The sequence below is a fragment of the Homo sapiens genome, chromosome 10 (genome assembly GCF_000001405.40).
Source record: "Homo sapiens chromosome 10, GRCh38.p14 Primary Assembly".
Classification (NCBI taxonomy): Eukaryota; Metazoa; Chordata; class Mammalia; order Primates; family Hominidae; genus Homo; species Homo sapiens.
The window spans coordinates 61012649-61037037 of NC_000010.11; the positions used below are offsets into that span (position 1 = coordinate 61012649).

Here is a 24389-nt window from a genome sequence, read left to right on the forward strand (position 1 = left end):
CGTTCTGTTGACCAGGCTAGAGTGCAGTGGTGTGATGGTTCACTGTAACCGCTGCCTCCCAGGTTCCAGAGATTCTCATGCCTCAGCATCCGGAGCAGCTGGGACTACAGGCACAGCTAATTTTTGTATTTTTGGTAGAAACGGGGTTTCATCATGTTGGCCAGGCTGGTCTTGAACTCCTGGCCTCAAGTGATCTGCCCACCTCAGCCTCTCAAAGTGCTGGGATTACAGACGTGAGCCACCGTGCCCAGCCCAAATCCAACATTTTAATTACAGGATATCTGCTAAGGGTATGGATGATTCAGCACCCTTCTATATCTTTCTTCTCTCCTATGCCTTTTAATCATTTCTCAATTTCAAGAAAAATGAGAAGAGAAGAAAGTTTGTTAATTTACCATGATATTTGGAGAGGAAATTTAATTTGCCAAATAAAAGAAGTTTGATATCTATTTAGGGGTTTTTCAGTTTTGAATTCTTACGGATGATAATAATATGACTTGAGATTCACCCATCTTCTTTAAATTTGTTGATTTTTCTCTTACAATGGAATGTACCCATAGGACTTGAGATTTGAAGTAATATTCATACATGGTCAAATTCTTCTCACTGTTCCTTCTCACATACAAGAAAGGTTTGTCCTACTTTTTCAAGCTATCGAAAACTCCCTTCTTCCCACTCTAAAATTTTACATGTTCATTGGCAGCATGAATTTTTACATTTTCATATTCAGCCACATGTATTGTGTAACTATTGGCATAATATTTTAATTAGGACTGTCTAGTTCTAGTTTCTTAGCTGAGTATCATCATATCATAAAATTTTGAGGTTGGAGGGATCCTTGGCTACAGTTCACTGTGTGAATGAAGATGCTGAGTTTCGAGATGCCCGAGGGGCTTGCTCATGGTCAAACCACTAGATCCTGGCAGAACTGAGACTAGATATCAAGCTTTCTGACTTCTCATTCTGCGTATTTTCTACTGCGACACGCTGCTGCAGAGTGAGCTTGATGAGAATCTTGTTTTTCTTGTCAAGTATGAGTTAGAGAAAGTGGGAGGTCTTAGGCTGTGCCTCACTGTGCTCATACATACGTGTGTTAGGCAGCCCAGGGAATTTCAGTTCCCCAAATATCCCAACCCCAAAAGGTGCCCATGAAGGAAAAGGGATCTCTCCTAGATTTTTGTTTATTTTACAACTAATACAAAATGAGAGGAGACCTTATAGGTTATTTTATTTTTCCCTTTGGAGTCTTAGAAATTAACTCACTGCTAAGCCGCTGCCAGCTTCTATTTTCCCGATTAGAACTTTAACCTTCATAAAAAACATTATTTTGATAAGATGATCCTAGTGAAAAAAAATAGAAATAAGAATATCAGTAAAACCTAGGCATGCAGCATACTTTAAACTAGTTGGTAGGGATTATTGGTTACTGCTTAGCAATAATACCTAATGGTTTGGTAGAAAATTTTTAAGGAGAGTGAATGGAAACCTAATTTACTGAGGTACTTAAAATACGACTAAATAGAATAGTGAAGAGTGTATTGTAGAGATAATCTAGTTGCCCAGATGGCCTTTCCATAGTTACAGCTTTTATTGTTCTCAAAATGTGTGTGTTCTTTATTCTTTTATGAAAAAATAAAGATTTTCTTTTTCCCAGGGGCATGAAGTTACCCTGCAGTTTAGTTGTTAAAATACACTGAATATTTTTCTTTGTTACTTCTAGGACACTCATATTTATTCTGGAAGTCACCTTAGTTCCTGTGTTTTCCCTCTACATTTGAATTTCTGGCTCCAGACTCCGGATTTTAAGCTTGATAGTTATTTCTCATGATATTCCTCATAAGCTAGTTAATATGAGATTTTATGCCATGGATTAAAGAAAAAAAATGTTAAGGTTTGGATGTAGTCTTATCTTTTTAACTTTGATAGTTTTTTTTTTTTTCTCAGCCTTGGAAGCTGCAATAGGATGGTGTATGTCTGAAAGGAATTTGGAAATTTATTTGTAGTTGTTACAAAGGTGACTTGTAAATTCTGTAACCAAATTCCCATGGATTGTGCAGAAGATTCATTTCATTTTCTTATTAACAAAGTCTCAGAGTTTAAAAAATACATATTTTTACAGTACTATGCCTTCTGAGTTTTATTACAAAAGAAAACATTGAATAGTAAAATGACATCTCTATAAACTCTGTCCAGGTGGATTTTGTACATGTGGGCACCAACTTTTTTCATTCCATAAAAGAAGATAAGTCTTTGATTATAAGGATTCTGTCTGTTTTGCTTTCTCAATATGCAATGCCTAATAAATTATTTTATGGTAGTAATGTATTCATTTTCCACCTATAACATGCTTTGTGAGTAGAAACTGTAGACCTTGGAATTTATTGCAGGGAGTACCTGGAATTCTGAAACCATAATGTTAGAGTGCCAATATGAGAGCAAGTATTTGACCTTAAGAGGATATCCAAGCTTGAAGAGATGACAGCCAGAGATCTTAATATCATTAAATATTAGTAAATTAAAATCTGATCCTTCGTCTCCCACTTACTCCATTATTTCCTAGGATAGAACGGATTGCTAAAGGTACAAAAATCTGTTTGTTTTTAGGCTTTTATGCTTTGGTCTTTTTACCTTATACTTTAATATCTTTCTTGCGCCTCTCTCCATTATTAAAAAGGATGCATTACCTATACTTAAAAAATTATGTTACAGTTATGCCACTTCCCTCCTTAAAATGTGGCTCCCATTGCACCTAGAATTAAATTCTCTCAGCATAGCTGGCAAGGCCCTGTAGGACCAACTCTAACTCTATCTACTCTCTTATCACTAAGTTTGGTGATACTAGATGACTTTTCATTTCTTGAAGATAGCTTGCTCATTTTTGACCTTGCATCTGTAAACTTGTAATTCTCTCTGGAATGTTCAGAGCCCAAAATTTCAAATGACTGGTTCCTTCTCAATGTTCCTTTCCTCCCTACCCATCTAATGTGGCCACATACCCCTCCAGTCCTTCCACATCACTTTAACCTATTTTTAAAAGCCAATTTTGAAAATGGGATTATTTATTTATTTACATATTATGACATAATCTCCATTAAAATGCAATTGCCATGAAACTAGAGACCCTGTCTATATGTTCACATCTCTATAATCATTATTTAGCACAGAACCTAGAACATAGTAGGTGCTTGGTAAATATATATTTTTAATGAAAATATGGTGGCAGAAATGATATAAGTAGTAGTTAAAAGTATAGAATTGAGATCTGTGATCAAATCCTGGTCTCTTGCCATTTAATTTTCTCAAGTTTCTTCGCTGCCCCAATCATGATAATATGGTAAATACTCATCAATCAGGCTATGGTGGATATTATTTTGAGGTGATAATATATTAAGTGTTCAGCACATGCCTAGCATATAGCAATTGCTCACTAAATAGTAGCTATAATAGTTTTTCTGCAGAACAGTAGCAGAGCAGGATGGGCTGCAGGCCATTTACACTGAGAATCCTGAGGCATGCCAGGGCGTAAAAACCAGAGAACAAATTCTTTTTGTTTAAGTTCAAAAGTGCAAACATCCAAAGTTCAGAATTTGGGTAGAGTAGGTGAGAGCAAGAAGCAAGGATGAAGGAAAGGGAGAACACTGAAGACAGTGTTTGCTAGTGGGATTTAGTCCATTTTTATTGGCAGGATTGCACGTGAGTAGCTCTATTTGGCTTAAAACTCCAGAAGCAAGGCTAGAAACTGATTCTCTACAGGTGAAACTTACATTACTTTGTTTGTTGATTTTTGAAACTATTTTGGATATTTTATCTATCTTGTTCTAAATAACTAAGAAGAGCCTAATTTGATTATTCTGTGAGGTAAACTATCCTCTTTTATATGTATATGACTCTTCTCAATTTCATACTGAAATTTAGTGACTACACAAACCTTATTTGATCACTTGATGGTAGTTTGTTCTAAGTTATATAGGCACAGTGCTTAGGGCTATAGCAAAATAATGGACAAAAAAATCTCTTTTGAAAACAGTTTAATCTTTGATGTTTTAAAAAATAAGAAAGAGAAATAAGGAACAACAGTGTAGTTATAAGAAAAAACATCTAAACTTGGTTAGAATTCCTTACTCATATTTATGACTTTGCTTTGCCATATTGAATTACATATAGATAGAGGGATCAGGGCCAAACAAAATATCTCCAGGGCTTGGTTCTCCAAAGGCTTTAATCCAATCCTCTCTAGACACATTTTTATAAAACAGGATTGAAGATTTTAGATCTCAAATCTCAGGTCCCAGTTGCAAATTTTCAGTCTCCAACCCTAACTAACTCTTCCTTAAGACGAAAACAAACAAACAAAACCAAATACCTACACATCCAAGACTTTTCTGGAAAGGGGGCATATGCTGTGGGGAGGGATGTTTAAATTTTCTGTTTTTAATTTTTTAAACAACTCTCCAAAGTAGAGAAAATTTGAAGAATTAAAAAATTAAAAAGATTATATTCTAATTTCTGATGTCATTTTACTGTAGTTCCATTCAATATTCTTTTTATATGCATTTCTTTAATAGCCTAGTAATAAGCAGAGTATTTGAGGAATTACCAGTTGTTTGGGCCCTGTATGTTTTTGAAGTTAGTTGTAGTCAGGATAGATTAGGTTATTATGAGGTAACAAACAACTCCAATCTCTCAATGCCTTTACACAATAAAAGTTAATTTCTTCCTCATGCAGACCCAGGGGATTTGAATGATTCTTCAGTTGTCTTCCACAAGGTGGCTTGGCAATTTAAGGTCTTTTGATTTTGTTTCTCTGTAAACTCAAAATCTCAATTCAAGGCTTCCTTGATTGTTACAGTAAGAAAGGGGGCTATATGGGCCTTTTCAGTTTTTCAGCCCTGCTCACATTTCACCGGACAGAACTCAGCCCCGTGGTCCTGCCTAACTGCAAGTGCATTGGGAAGTGAGGTTTTCCATGTGCTGTGGAAGGAGCTAGGAACCTGAAATATATAGGCTAGCTATGTCTATCATTCCTCAAATTAATTTTTTTTAAAGCAAAGGATTTAGCTCAGAGCTCAAAATTATTCAAAAAGAGGGTTTGACACGCATACAAGTTTATAACCAGTAGAATTGGATTATTGGCCACTTGAGGATAATTGACAGTCTAAGGATTGTGCAAGGATTGCTTTAAAGAAAATACATTCTTATGGCAGATTTGACATAGCCAACTACATTTTCATAATGTTATTATACTTACGTTCTTCAGCTTCCTTCAGAAAATTGGTTCTTTGCTATTTTGTCTAACCTCTTCACTTGGGCAATGGCCTTTACAAGAATAGATTTAAGTTATTCTGGTCTGTGATGTAGACTTGCAATGCTATGCTGAACTCAGACTATGTCATGAAGAAGCCCAGCCAAACTATTAGTTTGCCTTATGAAATTACTGTTATTTAATTATTTTTTATTACCAAAAGCAATTTTCTATGATTCATCTTTATAGTTAATATTAGGTAGAAAAATAACCAGAACATTGCCATTTCCCTTATTTTACCTTTTTGCATTGGTGTAACTCCAATCTGGGTCTTATAATGGGATCTTTGAGCTCAAGTAAGGAATTTTATACACAGAATTTTGTATTGTAAGCATCACTGTCTTACATAACCTTTTCAACCATGACCAAAGGGTTCACAACATGACCAATGGTTAATTTTAGTGAATTATTTAACAAGTTAATTATCCCCAGTTTCTTCAGAACATGTGGTTCTTCCTTAGGTCAACTACTCATTTCACATCTCTTAACTACATGGCTTATAGTAATAAAAGATGTGTGAAGTTTATTTTTTCCCAGGTTTATTGAGATATAATTGACAAATAAGAATTTTATATATTTAAGAAAAAATGTGATAATTTGATATATGTCAATAAATAATTGTCACAATGAATCTAATTAACACATCTATCGCCTCACAGTTACCTTTATTTTTGAGAACACTTAAGATCTACTATCTTAGCAAATTTCAAGTATACAATATGGTATGATTAATTACAGTCATCATGCTGTATATTAGATTCCTAAAGCTTATAACTGAAAACGTGAACCCTTTGACCAACATCTCCCTGTTTCTCTCTCTTCCTGGACTTGGGCAACCATCATTCTACTCTCTGCTTCCATGAATTTGACTTCTTTACATTCCACACATAAATGAGATCATACATTATTTGTCTTTTTGTGTCTGGCTTATTTCACTTAGTATAATGTCCTCTGGGTTCATCTATGTTGTCAAAAATGGCAAGCTTTCCTTCTTTTTTTAATGGTTGAGTGATATTGTGTTTTATATATATTTCACATTCTCTTTCTTCGTTTGTCCCTCAATGGATACTTACGATGTTTCCCTATCTTGGCTGTTGTGAATAATGCTGCAATGATCATGGGAATGCAGATATCTCTTTGAGATTCTGATTTTATTTCCTTTGAACATATGCCCAAAAGTAGGATTGCTGGATCAAACGGTAGTTGTGTTTTTAATTTTTTGAGGAACCTCGATACTGTTTTCCTTAATGGCTATACTAATTTACATATAAATGGCCAGCAGACACATGAAAAGTCCCTCAAAATCACTAATCATGAAGGAATTGCACTTCATTCTTCAGCCCAACCCAAACTTAGTTGCTTTACAATAATATACCAAGGAAGTATAGATAGTGATGTAAATTCTTGTTGTTGTTGCAGTTTTAAAAATTGTTGTCACTTTGGGAGGCCAAGGCGGGTGGATCAGGAGGTCAGGAGTTTGAGACCAGCCTGGCCAACATGGTGAAACCCCATCTCTACTAAAAAAATACAAAAATTAGCCAAGTGTGGTGGTGGGCGCCTGTAATCCCTGCTACTTGGGAGGCTGAGGCAGGAGAATCACTTCAATCCTGGAGTTGGAGGTTGCAGTGAGCCGAGATCGTGCCATTGCACTCCAGCCTGGGTGACAAGAGCAAGACTCCATCTCAAAAAAAAAAAAAATTATTGTTATGGCATCCCTGAAAAATGACATATTACCTCTTCCTCTCCAGATTACTTCATTTCTAATAATTATGAAGATGACTACCATTTATTGAATAAGTTCTTTGTTCCTATCATTGTGTTAAGTGCTTCAATTACATCATCTAATTCTCCCAAAAACTCTATTAGGGCAATAGCACAATTATGTCTATTTATGGATGAGAAAAACACATCTAAGTCTATGTATCTGGTAGGGGGAAAAACTAGCATTGGATCCAGCTGTGTCTCCTATAGTCCACTAGTTCATAACCACTTAGCACGTTATCCCTGTTCTCCTTCACCTTCCATTTCTTTAAAAAAGCAATACAATTCTTAAAAATGTACTCCTGTAAAATCACCCTTGTACATAAGTATCATTTCTATTTCAATTGAAAGGCAGTCTTAATGGACGGTTTGGCAAACCAGAAATGTTTGTAGTGCCATATGTCTCAGAAGGCTGGAGTGTACAGAATTCTAAGTGAAAAACTGAGTTGTCGATATGTCTACTGGATTTTTACATAATAACAATAGGCTAATAAATATTTAACCTTTCTTAAATCTAGCTGCTGTGGAAGCGATGTCTGTTTTATTATTTTCATAACAAAAACAAACAAAATAAACAAAATAGTCTAAAAGATGAGATCTTTGAAGGCATATCCCATAGAGTATGCCTCATAGGGTCTTGAATATGATAAACCTTCAGTAAGTTTCTGATGCGTGACTAGAACAGTGGTTTTGAAATAGACCATAATGCATTGTTTTGCTCTAAAGTCTATTTGGGTGAAATCCTTATATTCTCAAGTAACTTAATTTGCTCCCCAGTGTAAATATTTAAACTTTTTACTTTTCATAAAACAAAATTAAAGCAAGCAGTATTTTAGCTAAATGTCGTATAGTTTTGGTTCCAGATAGTGAACCAGGAAGTATTCCTGAATTGTAAGCTACCTTTATTAAGATAATATGTTAGTCATATTTTCTAAAGGGCTCATAGGTTTTTAAACTTTCAGAGAGAAAATGGTTTCATACTTATTTTATGCACATAATCCTCATGAATATGATACTAATTGGACTACAGTAAATGGAAAATAATAAAGGAAACAATGAATATCAGATTTTACATATTTGCTTCTTTACAAAAATCAATTCCTGAAATGGATGGAATGTAATGTGGTGCTATCAAAACCTTTGTGGTTAAATTTACTTTTAAACTTTTTGCTTTATTATCTTTTGGCGGCTAGAAAACCTTTGATTAATCTCTGTGAAAGAAATTAAACTTTAAACCTTACACACTAAAGAGAAAACGCTTCCAAGGTACACAGTGAATAAGCTTATTAACTTTAAAATTAATCAGTCAACACTAGCAAATTCACAGTTAGGAAACTATGCTGATAATTATATAATACTTACATTATGCTCCTATTTGATTTACTCTATTTGCTAATTTCTCAGTAATAATAATTCATTATATTTTTGATAGCCTATAATTTCTATTGCAAAGATTTCAATTTGCACTCTTTACATACTTTTGGTTTTATGACAGAATTTTAAAATGATATGCAAACTTGAGTTTAGAGAAATAATTATGCAGATACAAGAAGTATGATGGATAACTTCCAAAATAGGCAGATTCATCCTCACCCTCAAAGCACAGTAACATGGAATGAAAGGGTTTGGGTTTGACTTCTACCTCTATCACTTATTAGTTTAAATGTTTGTGTAATTATTTAACCTGTCTAAGCCTCAGTTTTCTTCTCTGTAAAATGAGGGTAATTGAAACTTCTACCTCCTAGCAACTTTGTGAACATTGATGAGGTAGTCTACCTTAATGCATTTAGTGTTGGAAGAGTAACTGACACATGGCAAGAACTCAATACATCTTAGCTATTATTTTTATTAACATGTCAGGAACTTTTTAGGAGTAAAAGATCATTTGGTTCTTTTGAAGTTTATATAGACATAAATATGTCCATGTTGATTATGAGGGACCTGATAAAACAAATATTAAATACATTAAGGATGTTTCTAACAATTGTGGTTTATTGGTAGCATTTATAACAGTAACATAAAATATTACTTACAATAATGAAGATCCCTACGAACAAATCATATTTGTAATAATGAGTCTAATTATAATGGATTAATAGCATAATTAGAATTGTGGTAACTATTTAAAAGTGAGTTAGAAAATATTAACATTATATATATGTTAATATAGATTGTTTATGCCAATATGGAATTGCAAATTTGTGAAAGCTAGGAGATAGCACTCAAGGAACTTATGTTGCCTGAAAAAAGAACTGCATGTAGGAAAAACAACCCTCGACCAGAGAAATAGACACGCCTGAAAATAAAAAGACATTTTCTTTAAGAAAATGGAATCACATGGTAAGTCAAGAGAGGGCAAGACATCTCACTGGGACTCAATATTGTGCTATTCTTTCATAGCATGCAGAGTAGTGGACTATTAACATTTGACAAAGACTCTATTGAAGCAACACAGAGATAATTTGCATGCAAGTCAGGAGAAATGCTTATGCCACAACACTGCATTTTATATAAAATGAAAACATGAAAATACAATTCTATTAAGACTGTTTTTTGGAATCACAGCTGAAATTTCACAGGCTTCATGCTTTCTCTGCTCTGTGAGATCTTATTGGATACATTCATTATGAACTGACCATATATGAAGGAAAAATAAAGTAACCAGGAATAAATGATTTCTTTTCAGAGATGAAAATTTAAGATTAATATAGAGTGAAAGGGTAACAAGTCAGAATTTTATCGTCACTGATAACTTGTTCCAAACCTTTTTCCCTGAAAAAAGTACTTTGTTACAAATACATCATTTATTTTATTTGACCACTATTTTAAATTCACTTAATCAGTTAAAATTGGTGGAAGACTTCATAAGTGCTTTGAATAGGTATGCAACTGTAGGATTAATCAGGCACACAGATCTTGTTCTCAAAAAGCTTATGGTCAAGAAGGAAGGTTAAGAGTATGTGATCAGGCAGGAAGAGCTCAAGCTCTAAGAGATGTACTGTGAAGTCCATTATGCTGTGAACAGGCAAAATTATATGTAAGTGCTAGTTCTTCAGATAAGATTCAGGATTATGATCTCTGGGCTATTTACAGAGATAATGTTAAATCATACACTTAAGCTCTTCTTACTATTAAGTTGTAGCAATAATTCCTTTATTCGTCCATACCTCAAACATTTATAGAATATCTGCTCTGCCAGGCATTGAGCCTATAAAAATGAGTTAACCTTTCATGGGGTTCATAGTGTAGTAACAGAGACATCACACTATATTGTATTTTATTTTCTTGTCTCAGTGCTAGAGCTGAAATATGAACCAGGTATATAGGGGCAAATGGGATGTAAGTTTAGGGTACAAGCATAATAATTGTTGTTAGGCTTGGCTTAAAAATAATCAATTTAGAAATACAGAGATTTAAATCTTAGGGGTCATAAAGTTGACCTTCTTCATTTTACACAAGACAAAATGTTCAGAGAAGATAAATGATTTGCTCAATGTTACATGGGTTATTGGCAACTGAACTGAAAGTTGGATCCACCTTTGGCTCTTTCAGTTCCAAGCCATTCCTCTTCTGATCAAGCCCACTGCCTCAGGAGGGTTAATAGTTAACATAAATGTTTTATGTAGAGTCTGAGCCAAATAAAGCATGCCTAAATGGCTATTTTAAAGGAAAATAAATTAGTGATATGAGCAGCTTAATAGCAGGTACCAGATTAGAAATAGACTTACTCTGCAAAGACCAACAAAGGAATTAATGCAACTCTATGAAGATATTGTCTTACAAATTAGAGAGTCATCAATATTCTGCATGAATCTGATGTGAATGCCGAGAGACATTTTGTAGAATGTTAAAAAATGTAAAAACTGGGGACAGTTTTATAAATCCAATAGGAAAATTTCCATGCCTAGTCAGAGGTGAATACAAATGGAATTGTTTTTTTTCAAACTACAATTCCCTGTGATAAGGCTAAAGTAGGCTCTTAATAAATTAAGGATGTCTTCTTTGTCTTCTTTTTCTTGACCTTTTTCTTCTTTTGCCACACAGGAATCTGTAGGCCTATATTCAACAGCTGATAGAGAAAAAAATTAGGACTCTAGGATAGTTATTGTAATAAGACAGTCTGGAAGCGTGACTCTCTGCCGTCGAGTAGCTGTTGACTTAGGACAGGTTACTAAATCTCACTGAGCCTCAATTTCCTCATTTAAAATGTGACATATGTAATATAAAACTATTAGGGCTCCTTCCAGCTTAAAAACTCGATGTCTTCTCAGTAGATAATAGTTGCTTGTTCAAAAGGTACCTCCAAAAACGGTTAGCTGAGCTTTGTGTTCTACTTAATACGCACTGGTAAATAAAGTAGCTGATAACTAAGAATAGAAAGAAAAATGATAGCTCACTCATTTTAATGAGAATGCTGTAAGCATATGCAATGGTTTATTATTAAACTATTCCACTAGTGGAGAAATTGGAAAAATCACAATAAAATTTTTCAATTTTCCATTTCAGTAACTTTATTGAATTGCCAAGGCATATAACAACAGCCAAAGTTGATACATTAAATGTGGATGTTTAAGAACAAAGTTAATATGTAATATTATTGTTTCTCATTTTAGTCCTTTTCTGCCAAACCCCTCCAAAGTTAAATAAATCTTCTTTCTTACTTATTGCTAAAAAGTGTCTTGCTATTTCTGATAGTTTGAATATTTTTTCAGTTAATTCTTTATTATTATGTAAAGGTTGTAAATCACTATGGATTTCTATTTCTTTACTGCCAAGTATAATACAATGTCAATATCCCCTTCCTTTCCAGAGTCTGTCTTATGGTTTCTATTTTCAGTTTATGATCCTTGTGTCTATATTTGGTAAAAGTCTGCTTATGTTTTTCAAATCTGATGTAAGGCAATCTTTTAACAAAATGTTTCTGAGTGGAACCTAAAGCAATCTGAATTATAATTTTAGATATATGCTTCCCAAGAAAGCAATATAATTTTTTTTTCAAGGAGAGAGTTGCTATTTGGTTTCAAGTGTTGTTACATTTTATGTATTCACACTATATTTAATAATATTCTCATCTTTTTCTTTGACTATCAGGAACTGCCTGCCTCCTGACCCAGATTCCCTCTTTGTGCTTCCATACCGGGACAGAGGAAATTTCTTCTGGGCTCTAGGCACTGTTTGCTGCAACCGCTGTGGGCCTTTACTGTGGCCACTAGGGGTCTTTGGCTTTGCTCACAGTCTAACAATTAATTAGAAAGAGCAATTTTTTAAAGAAGTTACACAAAGAGCTCATTATAACCTATGTTCCTTTGCCTTAAGAGTTCTCAGTAGATGAGTATGATCCACAAGGGCACATGATCAATACCCTCTAAGGATGATCGCTGATGGCCTGGATTTTTTGCTAGAGAGGAGATTGTCAGGCTTCTGTAGCTGAGATTCCCCAAATCTCAGCCCTATTCTTGTCCTTTCTGAGGTTTGGTTGGTCATCATCTTTAATTCTACAAGAAACTCTTGCATTCTTCTATTTTTCTTCTTTTTTTGCCTTAAATTATGCATTTTCAGTTTTGTGCTTGCAGCCCAAGAATGCTCGCTGTCTTTGTCAGCTCTGGCTGCTGTAACAAGTTACCATAGAATGGTTAGCTTAGACAATAAGCATTTATTTCTGACAGTTCTGGAGGATGAAAGTCTGAGATCAGGGTGCCAGGATGGTTGGGTTCTGATAAGGATCCTCTTCCTGGCTTGTAGATAGCTGTTCTATCCTTTTTCTTATGAGGGTACTAATCCCAGCATGATAGCTTCACCTTCCAAAGGCCCTACCTTCAAATAATATGGCATTGGGGAATGGGTATTCAACATATGAATTTTGGAGGAACAAAAACATGTGGTCCATAACAAATACCGATGATAACTTGGTATATTATTTTGCTCTATTTGTATAACAGAACAACACATTACCTGTGCTCAAATAATACACATGAATTCCATTGTTATTGACTGCAAATGCTGAGAGGAATGAATTTGACTTCTTCCCATTCTATCTCTTCAGTCAATGACAGCAGAATTGATATTCTATTTGTTCCTAGGTCCTGATGTCAGCTGAAGAGAGAAATGGTGCCTCATAGAGTGTCCTCGGCTTACCTTTCTGTCTGGAGGGTGTCTACTCAATTCAAGCGTAAAACGTTTTTGAGAGAAGACCCAATTTTCCTATTTTGCCATTCCAGTGGTTTTTGGCAAGCCAGGACACCCGTTCATCCTTTCGGAAACTGATCTAGCTGTCATGTTTGCCTTAGCTGAGCCAGGAACTGCACCCACACAGACTCTTTGTTGGGCCAGTCAAATCTCTGCTCATTTACTAGGAAACTTCTCTTTCTCCTCGAGTTTTCCTAGAGAAAGATATTTATACATGTATTTGTACATGGATTTCTCCTATAAAATGATGACAGTGTGGATTTTGATTTGACTTTTCTCCAAGATGATGCCTCTTAAGTCACCCTTCTTATTTTATTGTTATTATTTCTATGAAATCATTTAACTGGAACCTTTCTAACTACACAAATCATCTACATCTGCAGAGTCTTCACTGCTCCTTCACCAAGAAACCTTACACCACAACAGATCATAGTGATTATACTATGTAATTTTGAAACTTATAGCATTTAAAAATATATCTGTGGCTCAAAAAATAAATTCAAGGTCCTTTTCTGATATGAAATTGTGTGTGTGAAGATCCACTATAGAAAGTAAAATTAAAAAAAACAACCAAAAAAACCTGAGAGTGACCGTGGTGGAGGTGGAAGCCAGGATGTGGGATTGGGCTGAAACTCGATGTATTTGATACTTCTCTTATTTTCTGTGCAGCTTTGAGAGCTACCCTACTCCCACCCCAACACTTGGGGTTACCTGGAGCACAGTTTGCAAACTACTGATCTCAATATTGTTCACTTAACACTTAACCAGTTACTGTCCTTTGATATTTTTTGCACTGCAACCTTGTTATTATATTTTGCATGGTTATTTAACTTTCCAAGTATTTGTGTTGACTTCCCCAGGAGGTTGTAATTTTCTTGAAAGTAGAAACAGTATCTTGTATCTCAGAGAGGAGCCAAATCTAAATCCACATAGCCAAAGTTAGTACTCAGCTTGTGAATATGGAGCTCTGTCAATTATTAATTGATCATTGATTCTGTCTGGTCTTAGACTCAGAGGAGGAAACCGTTCAGGAACATGGACATGAGTAGGTAGTTAAGTCTAAGTAGCACAATCAGGTGGTAAGTTGGGCTCTTGCTCTGAAAGGTCAAGATATGGATCCTAGGCTGCTGACATTCTTACAAAAGAATGCCATCAGGCACAGTGATTCAGAAAACAGTGCATACTTTTTACTAACGGCAATATTTACTTGATATAACTGAACGGATAGGTGTATAAAAGACTCAGAATATGGCTCCACCTATTCCAAGTGTGATTTTGATGTGCACAAGGTTTCAAATCACAAGTGGAATTGATATCAGATTCTGTCCTTATCCCTTCATAGAACACTGTTCAATACCCAAGAAATCAGAAAAGATATGGGAAACTAAGTTCTCTTATCAAAACTAGCAATGTGACTAATTACATGGAGAATGAATGGGCAGTATTATAAGCAACACTTCAATAGTCAGCTTAGGATAAAATTTTTCGTTCTGTTCATTGGTGTTACCACTGTCTAATGGCCAGCATGACTCAAAAAATATATTTGTATCCACAATAGTTGGTGACTCCCATGATTGTTATTTATCCAACATACAATATCTGAAGATGGTTGTGTTTTTCAATATGTTTTATAATCATAAACCACTTGTTTCTCTCCATGTGAACTAAATGTTTTATAAAGGAAGAATAAACATATAACATATGCTATAAGATGAAACTTCTTTAATATCTATTATAAAGCTCTAACTTGTTATTTTAAAAAAAGTTAAAACTCGCTTGAACAAAGATCATATTGGAAATATTTAGTGGGAAGTGCTTATATAGCAATCTATAGTAGAAAGAATATAGTATATATATATGTAGTAGAAAGTAGTATATTCTTCTACTATATAGTAGAAAGTAGTATATTCTTTACTACTTTCTATACTATAGAATATAGTATATTCTTTCTATTATAAAAAGAATGTAATATATTCTTTCTACTATATTTAGTATAAAGTGATTATATAGTGATCTCCTGTTGCTTAAAAAAGTACCTTCAAATTTCCAAAGACTAGGTAGTACAAATAACTGGTATCATTACAGAGGAATTACACATGCCTGGCCGTTTGACAAAAGTGTCTAGGCAGAATTTTTGAATCCAATTTTTATTATTAATAATATAAGGTATGCACACATTCTCATCTTCTGAAGAGTGTCTCCACACATGAGATCTTATTCCCTTTTACAAGTACCCTCTGCAGGAGAAATGAACAGAAATGGCTGTGATCCTTTTACTGCTGGAGCAGCTGAAGAACAAAGAAGTGGTTGATTTGCCACTGTCACAAATGGATTGGGTTGAAATGAAGATCTCTGGTCTCCTAGCCCAGTGCTCTATTCACCAGCCATGAAGTCTCAGTCTTGCTTCCCCACTGGCATCATGGATGTGAGGATGAGACACACTCCATGGATAATCACATATCACAGTTCTAGAGATTTTCATGGGACATGTGTATGTGTGTTGGAGGGGGTGTTTCAAAGGGGGTGTCTCAGAATTTTGGTGGGGTTACTGAGTGTAGTTTTAAAATGCTCCAAGAAATCCCCTACTCTTTTAAAATCATAGTAGCATTAATGCATTTTCTGTGCTTTTCCCAAATCTTTCATTCTATACCTCCTAAGCTTTCCCTTGGGAGTCCAGAAATCTTTTTACTTGGGAAGCTAAAATGCTTCCTCGTTGGACTTACTTTTTATATAATATATGTTGGCTGTTTCATTTATACAGTGAGCCCTTTGCCGTAATGATTATTTGGGATTTGGTTCAAAGCCAACCTGCTGCCCAGTGAAACCCAACCTCTCTCTCCTGACAGATTGTGACCTGGCTTCTGGCTATACGTTTCCCTACACCCTTGAAAGAGCACAGTGTGCTCCTCTCCTTTCTGCTTACCCCCTGAATCCTGGCTGAATCAGCCAAATATTTTCCACGCTAACAATAGTAATGAGTATGAGGTAGCCCTGTCTTCCTGGGAAGGTGGTCCCAGGATGAAGGAGAGGTGGAGAGAATGTGACTCTGTCTGTTGCTGGGACAATGAAGTATTCTGCTCAAGACACTCCTTGGTGAGATACGGAGACAACAAAGGGATATGACTGAGTTTCCAAAGAACGTAGGAAGGCATGATCATAGCTGTGATGTGAGGTAGTCTGGGTTGGGGAGAGTGGGTGTCTTAGTCCATCTGGGCTGCTCTAACAAAATACCATAGAATGGGTGGCTTATAAACAAAAGAAACGTATTTTTCTCAGTTCTGAAGGATGAGAAGTCCAAGATCAAGGTGCTGGCAGGTTCCATGTCTAGCGAGGGCTTGATTCCTAGTTTATAGACGGCTGTCTTCTCACTGAGTCATCACATAGCAGAAGAAGCAAGGAAGCTCTCTGGGGTTTCTTTTATGAGGGTATTAATCCCATTCTTGGAGGCTCCACTGTCATGACTTAATCACCTTCTAAAGGCTTCACTTCTTAATACCATCATATTGTGGGTTAGCATTTCAACATATGAATTTTGGGGGAACATAACATAAGCATTCAGTCTATAGCGGTAGGCAATGGGGGTGTCATATTCATTACTCCCTAACCCCCAAATTCCAGGGAAAAAAACATTAGTAACTGTCAGAAACATGATAGAGCCAAGTAACAGATATTTGCTGAAGGTCTACCGAAGTAGTAAAATTAATGACTAACACACAGAATGTGCTGACAGTGTGGTGTGTCAGGTGGTGTGTGGAACACTTTGCACTCATTATTTACTTAATCCTTACAAAAACCTGTGAAGTATGTCATGATTTTACAGGTGAGGAAATAGAGGCTCAGAAAGGTACAGTAAAATGCTTACAGTTACACAGCTTGTAGGTGAAAAGCAGATTTAGATACATGTTTTCTGATCCCCAAATCCCCCATATTTAACCACCACACTCCATTACTAGGGGCCCAAAAATGGAGATGCTCCAGAGCGTAAAGCAGATCAGGTTATCTGCTTTCGTGAGACTTCTCTGCCATCAGCGTGGCCAACTATCTTGATTAGCCTGGGATCATCCCAGTTTTAGCACTGAATGTCTCACATTCTAGGAAACATCTCAGTTCCAGGCAAATTGAAACAACTGGTCACAAATGCTGCTGGTGCAAATCTAGGTCTCTTTTGGGAATGGAAAAACCTGTCACCACTATGTCCAAGGGATCTATGCCTCCCTTGTCATGTTATCTCTGTGAAGCCCAAACTGGAAGGAGTCAGAGGTGTGGAGGAACCCAAGACCCTTTAAAGGAGTACACTTTTCAGCCCTCTTTGGTGTCCATGAGGACATAAACACGGCACAGAAAAATGGCTCCAGGCTGGGCACGGTGGCTCATGCCTGTAATCCCAGCACTTTGGGAGGCTGAGGCTAGTGGATCACCTGAGGTCAGGAGTTTGAGACCAGCCTGGCCAACATGGTGAAACTCCATCTCTACTAAAAATACAAAAATTAGCTGGGTGTGGCGTGGCATGCCTGTAATCCCAGCTACTTGGGAGGCTGAGGCAGGAGAATTGCTTGAACTTGGGAGGCGGAAGTTGCAGTGAGCCGAGATAATGCCACTGCACTTCAGCCTGGGTGACAGAGTGAGACTCTGTCTCAAAAAAAAGGAAAAAAAAATGGCTCGGATGGAGGAGACTTAGCCTGGAGAGGAGTCTGAGGGAGACTTTCCACCCTCTCCTCAATTTCCTCTCTCCCTCTTTCAAAGTGCATCCTCTCTCATGGTACATATTACCTACTTCTCTTTCAATCTGTACTTTCCTTTTGAGGAAAGATTCACTGCTTAATAGCTAACTCTTCGGTCATATAAGTGAATCCTACTATAACAACCTCAGCATCTAGAGATACAAATGTATTATATAAGAGACTAACTCTGGACATGATTAATTTTCTACTAGGATATTCTTCAGTGAAGAGGAGAATAAAGTACCTGTATTCTTGCCACCAGTAACTCCAATTGCCACTATCATAAGCACAGGTTTAAACTGATGGAAGCTTTGCATTTTACATTTGTTTTACATCTGTTCTTTTCCTTCACATCATTCACCTCATGCATTCTAACTGCACTTTATTTATGGTTTGACCTCCTCCCTACTAGACTGTAAACTCCTCGAGGGTAGACACTATAATTATTTTCCTCTATTATTTCATTATGCATTCAACACAAAGCATGACATGTGGTATGCCTTCAATAAATATTTCTTGAATGAATAAATAAATCCTATATCAGAAAAATAATAGCATTTAACTTAATTTCCACTTTTTAGGCTTACCTCATGCAAAACAACAAGGGAAGAACTTACAAAGTAAAGTGTGAGTCTAAGCTGTTTTCCAGTATGCACAAAACAACTAAAATGTATTCAGTGTCTATTATGTGCCACACACATAAGCATGAAATACACACACACACAAACACACACATACACACACACGTAAACTCACTGAATTCTTACCTAGTTTCATGAATGAAAAAAAAAGGCAGAGAGAGATTAAATCATTTGCCGAATATTTACTAATAAGTGAGCTGAACTTATTACTGACCAGAACTTAAGCACGGGAAATCCAACTCCAGTTTTCCAAGCATTGTGGACAGCTGCCCTGCCTACTTACTTTGTGGCTGACTTTGTGAGTGTGACCCAGCAAAATGACTCAGGCCATGCACCAGCTTCCTCATGGGGCCAATGCTCAAAAGAAATGGGCCAGAAGGTACCCTTTTCCATCCCCAAAGGGCTCTACAAATATGCTTATATAATCCAATTTGTTATTCTCTCATTAAAGAGGTTTATTTCTGGCCCAAATAAAATTGATTTTGGCATTCACTTATTCTGATATCAGTCTTTTAGGAAAAGATGTTGATGCTACTACAGAAAGCATCTGAAGGCATAGACTTGTTGACAGTGGCAGAGAAAGGAAAGGTTGAAGCCATTCAAAGAAGGAAAAAGAAAGTGAGGCTGCTCAGATGGGATTATTATAAAGGATCGTGTGGTTGGGACTTTAAATTTAAAGTATATTACATCTAAAAACAAAATTATGATGTAGAGATCAAATAATATGTTAGCTAACAGTGCTCCACGAGTCACTCCAGCTCCGGTCTTTTCTGGGCTTTAGTAACCTGGTGTCCTGGTTTTCTGGGAAGCTGATTACACATTCTATCCTTGAAATCATGGGTCCCCCAGTGACCTTATGGCTGATGCTGCCCCAGGTACTCTTGCAGCAAATCTCAAACTTGCCTCTTCCACAGCCACAAATAGCCCAAGTGACACAGCTAAGGGATGTACATAAGTTAAATTTTGGCCACTAATTGCTATAATAACAGTATTACTGGGTTATTCCACTTGATATATTGGCAAAAGAGTCTTAAATATAACAAAGGGTGAGCAAGGCAAAAAATAAGTAAAATATATTTGAATCAGTATAATCTGATATTATATGCCTTATTCAGTGTATATTTGAGTCAGTATAATAAAAACTCCATAGGTAGCACTGAAATTTTGATTACTGCTATTGAATTATACATAAAGCGCGACATAATATACTTAGTTTTTAATAGAGTAAATATTCCTTAAAATGGTAGCGTGAAGAACAAAAAATAACTAGTCAACCAAAACTTCCCCCCAATCTTCAAAAATCAGCTGAATCTCATTCAATACTAATTGCTGTAAACTTGTAAATAGTTAAGAGAAAAACATTTTTAATGAATTGATAAATTTGGTGAATTGATTCTTTGCTTAATTGATTTTTCAGCAAAATGATTTTTAAAAACTTGCTCAGTTCCCAAAAGGCCTCCTTTTCTAAGCTGCCTTCTGAAACGTGTCATGTATCATCTCAAATGGGCATTGAATGGGAACTGCTAAAATGGCCGGGTGTTACCTACCCCAGGAGAGCCTTAGATATGTTTCCTTTTAGCTGTGCTGACAATCATTCTTCCCTGACAGGCCCTATTAAGAAAGGGTGTGGGCTTTCTTCCTTATTGTCTTCAATACTGCATTCCAGGATTTTCTTATATGTGCTTTATCCCTTGGATGGCCTTTCTTCTTCCCAAACTTTGCTTCATTTTTCATATTCTTTCTTATCTAATTCTCATTAAATTTCTTTATATTTCCTCCTCATCCTAGGCCTATGACCTCATTCAATGTTCACCCATCCTTTCAACTAATTTCTTTCCACTCTGTGTTCCAGTGGTCACCCTTCAAGTTATTTACTATTTTATTTCTCTCTGTATCTTTTTACATCTTGAAGATATTGTCTAATACTTATTATTCTGATTAGCTACTCATTAAATTCTCAACCAAATGTACTTGGCATCCAACATTTCACTCCCCTCCACTGAAATGGTTCTTAAGATCATCAATGATTTCTTAATTTCCAAACTCTGTAACCTTTTATTGGTCCACATCCCTAAAGCCATCTATGCAATATTTGATTCTCCTTCTTCATTTGTCTTTTGACATCATTCCCTTAGTGTTCTCTTACTTTCTGCCAGGCTGTTCTTTCTTAGTATCTTTTGCTCAACTTTCCTCCATAGTTCTCTTTAAAGAGCTGTAGAGCTCTACACAAATGTAAGTGGAATTATTGTCATTAATTTATTGATGTTTAAATTCAAACAAGGGATGGGAGGTTTGTTTTCCATATTAAGAAGAGTACACACACACTCAAAAGTGACAAGCAAGTCACTCAGAATTCTATATAGAATACCCTTTCTTGGACCTTGATTACTTTGGCAGAAGTAACTATGCAATTGTTACTGGGGCGGGGGGGGGTGGGCGTCAGTCCTTGTTCTTAGAGCTCCCAAGATGATGGCGGGCTGCTCCCAAGATGGCAGCCCGCCTCTTGTAGTCTGACCTGGGGTTCTTGGCCTCATGGATTCCAAGGAATGGAACCTTGGGCCATGCAGTGAGTGTTATAGCTCTATTAGAAGCCATGGGTCACGGAAGAGAACCGTGGAACCCAGCGACTAGTGTTCAGCTCGATTAGGAGAACCCAGGCACTTAGCCATGCAGGAACAATGGTGAGCCTTTAGCCCGATCGGGAGCGGCAATGGGCACCTCGCTGGATCAGGAGCACAGCAGACATCCTGCCAGATCCGGAGGGGTGGAAGTCAGTGGCAGGTCTGCAATGGCGGCAAACAGCAGTGGTGGATGGCGAGTGAAAGCTCAGCTTGATCTGTAACAAACATGAACCAGAAGAGTGTGCAGTTGCAAGATTTAATAGAGTGAAAACAGGGCTCCCATAAAATGGGAGGGGACCCAAAGGGGGTTGCCACTCCCTGCTCGAATGCCTGGGTTTACATCCTGATCACTGTCCTTCCCCCTGTGCTCTCAGGCGATATATGACTTGACTGTTTCTTTACCTCCTGCTTTAGCCTAATTTGTATTTTAGTGAGCCCTCTTTACTACCTGATTGGTTGGGTGTCAGCTGAGTTACAAGCCCCGTGTTTAAAGGTGGGTGTGGTCACCTTCCCCAGCTAGGCTTAGGAATTCTTAGTCGGCCTAGGAAATCCAGCTAGTCCTGTCTCTCAGTTCCCCCTCTCAACAGGAAAACCCAAGAGCTGTTGGGGAGGTTGGCCAATGACCGCTGTTAACAGCTTCCTGCTGAATTGGGGCATAGTAGGGGTCGTGCAGTTGAGATTTCCTCAGGGGGGGTGCCTTCCATGTCATTAATATCAGAGCATGGGCTAGCAGGCCAGTCCAGGGGTCCGCAGTAGAGCTTAGTCATGGACTGCATCTGGGGCTCCATTTGAAGAGCCATTTGTAGTTTTACAGCTTCAATTCTGGAAGAGACAAACTTAACAAGGAGGTTAAAGATACAGGGATTGAAATGTATGGCCTGAAGTGCAAGGGCATATGAGTGTGGGCAGTGAAAGTGGGGTTTCCTTTAGAAAAACTCCTATACAATGGGGCATCAATATTTCTGGGAAGCCACATTTCTCCATAGAAGCTCTTGGTAAGGGGAGCTACTGGTAGTACAGCGGCATGGAGGAGGTGCAGTGAGAGTGAAAGATTTGGTGAAGCGTTTTAAGTAATTTCCATTGGTTAGCTGCAGGCAAAACTATTTTTCCTTCTTCGGTGGCTAGCCCTCCCGAGAGGAGGAAACTATGTCCTTGTGAGGTTCCCCAATCTATTTCTTCTGTTGAGTACTGGTGCTTTGTTTCCTTGAGGGGATTACTCCATACCAGGGGTCCTTCTATAAGCATTTCTAATGGAGGGTCCAGCCTTGTGGCTCTTTTGGCTTCAATATCCGCTTGGTAGTTCCCTTCTATTTCCCTTTCCTTTCCTTTCTGATGACCCCAGCAGTGTAAGACTGCCATCTCTTTAGGTTTCTGTACAGCCAAGAATAATCTCCTAATGGCTTCCCGATGTTTGATAGGTGTTCCCTCTGAAATTAGGAATTCCCTTTCTCTCCATATTGCTGCGTGGTCATGGAGAAGTAGGTAAGCATACTTACAGTCTGTATATATATTTACCCTTTTTTCTTCTCCTAATTCTAGTGCCCTAGTGAGGGCTATTAGTTCTGCCAGCTGAGTGCTAGTTCCTGGAGTGAGGGGATTACTTTCAAGTATTCCATTATTACCGACCACTGCATACCCTGCTTTTTGAAGTCCTTTTTCTACAAAGAACTTCCATTAGTATACAAGTTGAGGTTGGGATCAGTCAAGGGAAACTCTAGAAGGTCCCCTCGAGTGGTGTAGGTTTGAGCAATCACCTGTCGACAGTTATGTTCTATCTTTTATCGTTTGGAAGAAATGTGGCTGGGTTAAGAGTTGCACAAGTGCGCAGTCACAGCACTGGCCCTTTAAGTAATAGAGCCTGATATTTAAGCAAACGGTTGCCTGACAGCAACAAGTCTCCTTTAGCAGTGAGTATGCCGTTTACATCATGAGATGTCCACACAGTAAGATCTCTTCCCTGTATTATTTTAACTGCTTCAGATACTAAGACTGCTATTGCTGCCACTACCCATAAACAATGAGGCCAACTCTTTGCCGTTACATCATTTTCCTTACTTAGGTATGCCACAGGTTGCAAGCTGGTGTCTTGGACCTGTGTAAGGACTCCTAGAGCTATTCCTGTTTTTTTCTGTGACATACAAAGAAAAGTCTTGCCCCGTCGGCAAGCTTAACACTGGGGCTTGGGTTAGGGCCTTCTTTAGGGCCTGGAAAGCTGCTCTGCTTCAAGTGTCCATCTTACTAAATGGGTATTGGCTTTCTGAGTTTCCTTAATTAGTGTATACAATGGCCTGGCTATTTCGCCGTACCTGGGAATCCATATTCGGCAGAAGCCTGTTATGCCAAGGAACCCTCTTAGTTGCTTTAAGGTTTTGGGATAAGGATGAGCCAGTATAGGCTGGATACATTCCTTACTGAGGGCCCTGGTGCCTTTGGATACTTTTAGCCCTAAGTATTTAACCTGCTGTGAGCAGAGCTGAACCTTTGTTTTGGAAATCTTGTAGCCACAGGTGGCAAGGAAATTTAAGAGTGCTTGGGTGGCTTGATGGCACAAGGTTTCTGAATGGGTGGCTAAAAGTAAATCATCCATGTACCAAAGGACAAGAGTGTCCAGGTATGAAAACTGGCTCAAGTCTTGGGCTAATGCCTGGACAATTAGATGGGGGCTATCCGTGAACCAGGTGAGTTGAGATATTAGGTTCGAAGGATCTTCAAAGGCAAAAAAGAATTGAGAGTCAGGATATACAGGATGCAGGAAAAAGCATCCTTAAGGTCCAGGACTGTAAACCACTCTCCTTCCTCTGGTATTTAGGAAAGCAGAGTGTAAAGGTTAGGTACAGCTTGGTATAGAGGGACAATGGCCTCATTGATAATACTGAGATCTTGCACTAACCTCCACTGTCCATTAGGTTTCTGTACTCCTAAAATTGGAGTATCAGAGGGGCTACTGCATGGTTTTACTAGGCCTTGGGCTTTTAGGTCCTTAACAATCTTTTGGAGTCCTTGTTGGGCCTCAGGTCTAAGGGGGTACTGCCTTTGGTAGGGAAAGGGGGCGGAATCCTTTAGTTTAACTTGAACAGGAGAGGCATTCTTTGCTCATCCATATTGTCCTTCTGTTGCCCAGACTTCAGGATTAATTCCTTCCTCAAGCAGGGAACAA

The 24389-nt window shown here is 37.4% G+C and overlaps 1 long non-coding RNA gene across 1 annotated transcript, besides 2 other annotated features; it reads left to right on the forward strand.

The window, feature by feature from the left end:
• Nucleotides 829-1029: a silencer, noted in NCBI's record as "peak951 fragment used in MPRA reporter construct". NCBI's record gives its function as "represses an SCP1 promoter by STARR-seq MPRAs in K562 erythroleukemia cells {active_cell/tissue: K562}" and the evidence as "EXISTENCE:reporter gene assay evidence [ECO:0000049][PMID:32103011]".
• Nucleotides 3627-13769, forward strand: LINC00845 (long intergenic non-protein coding RNA 845). Its single transcript, NR_108052.1, has 2 exons — nucleotides 3627-3693; nucleotides 13144-13769. It is a non-coding gene; the product is annotated as a long intergenic non-protein coding RNA 845 (long non-coding RNA).
• Nucleotides 23441-23989: an enhancer, noted in NCBI's record as "OCT4-NANOG hESC enhancer chr10:62795847-62796395 (GRCh37/hg19 assembly coordinates)". NCBI's record gives its function as "activates a minimal SCP1, AML or CMV promoter by ChIP-STARR-seq in primed H9 embryonic stem cells {active_cell/tissue: H9 hESC(primed)}" and the evidence as "EXISTENCE:reporter gene assay evidence [ECO:0000049][PMID:30033119]".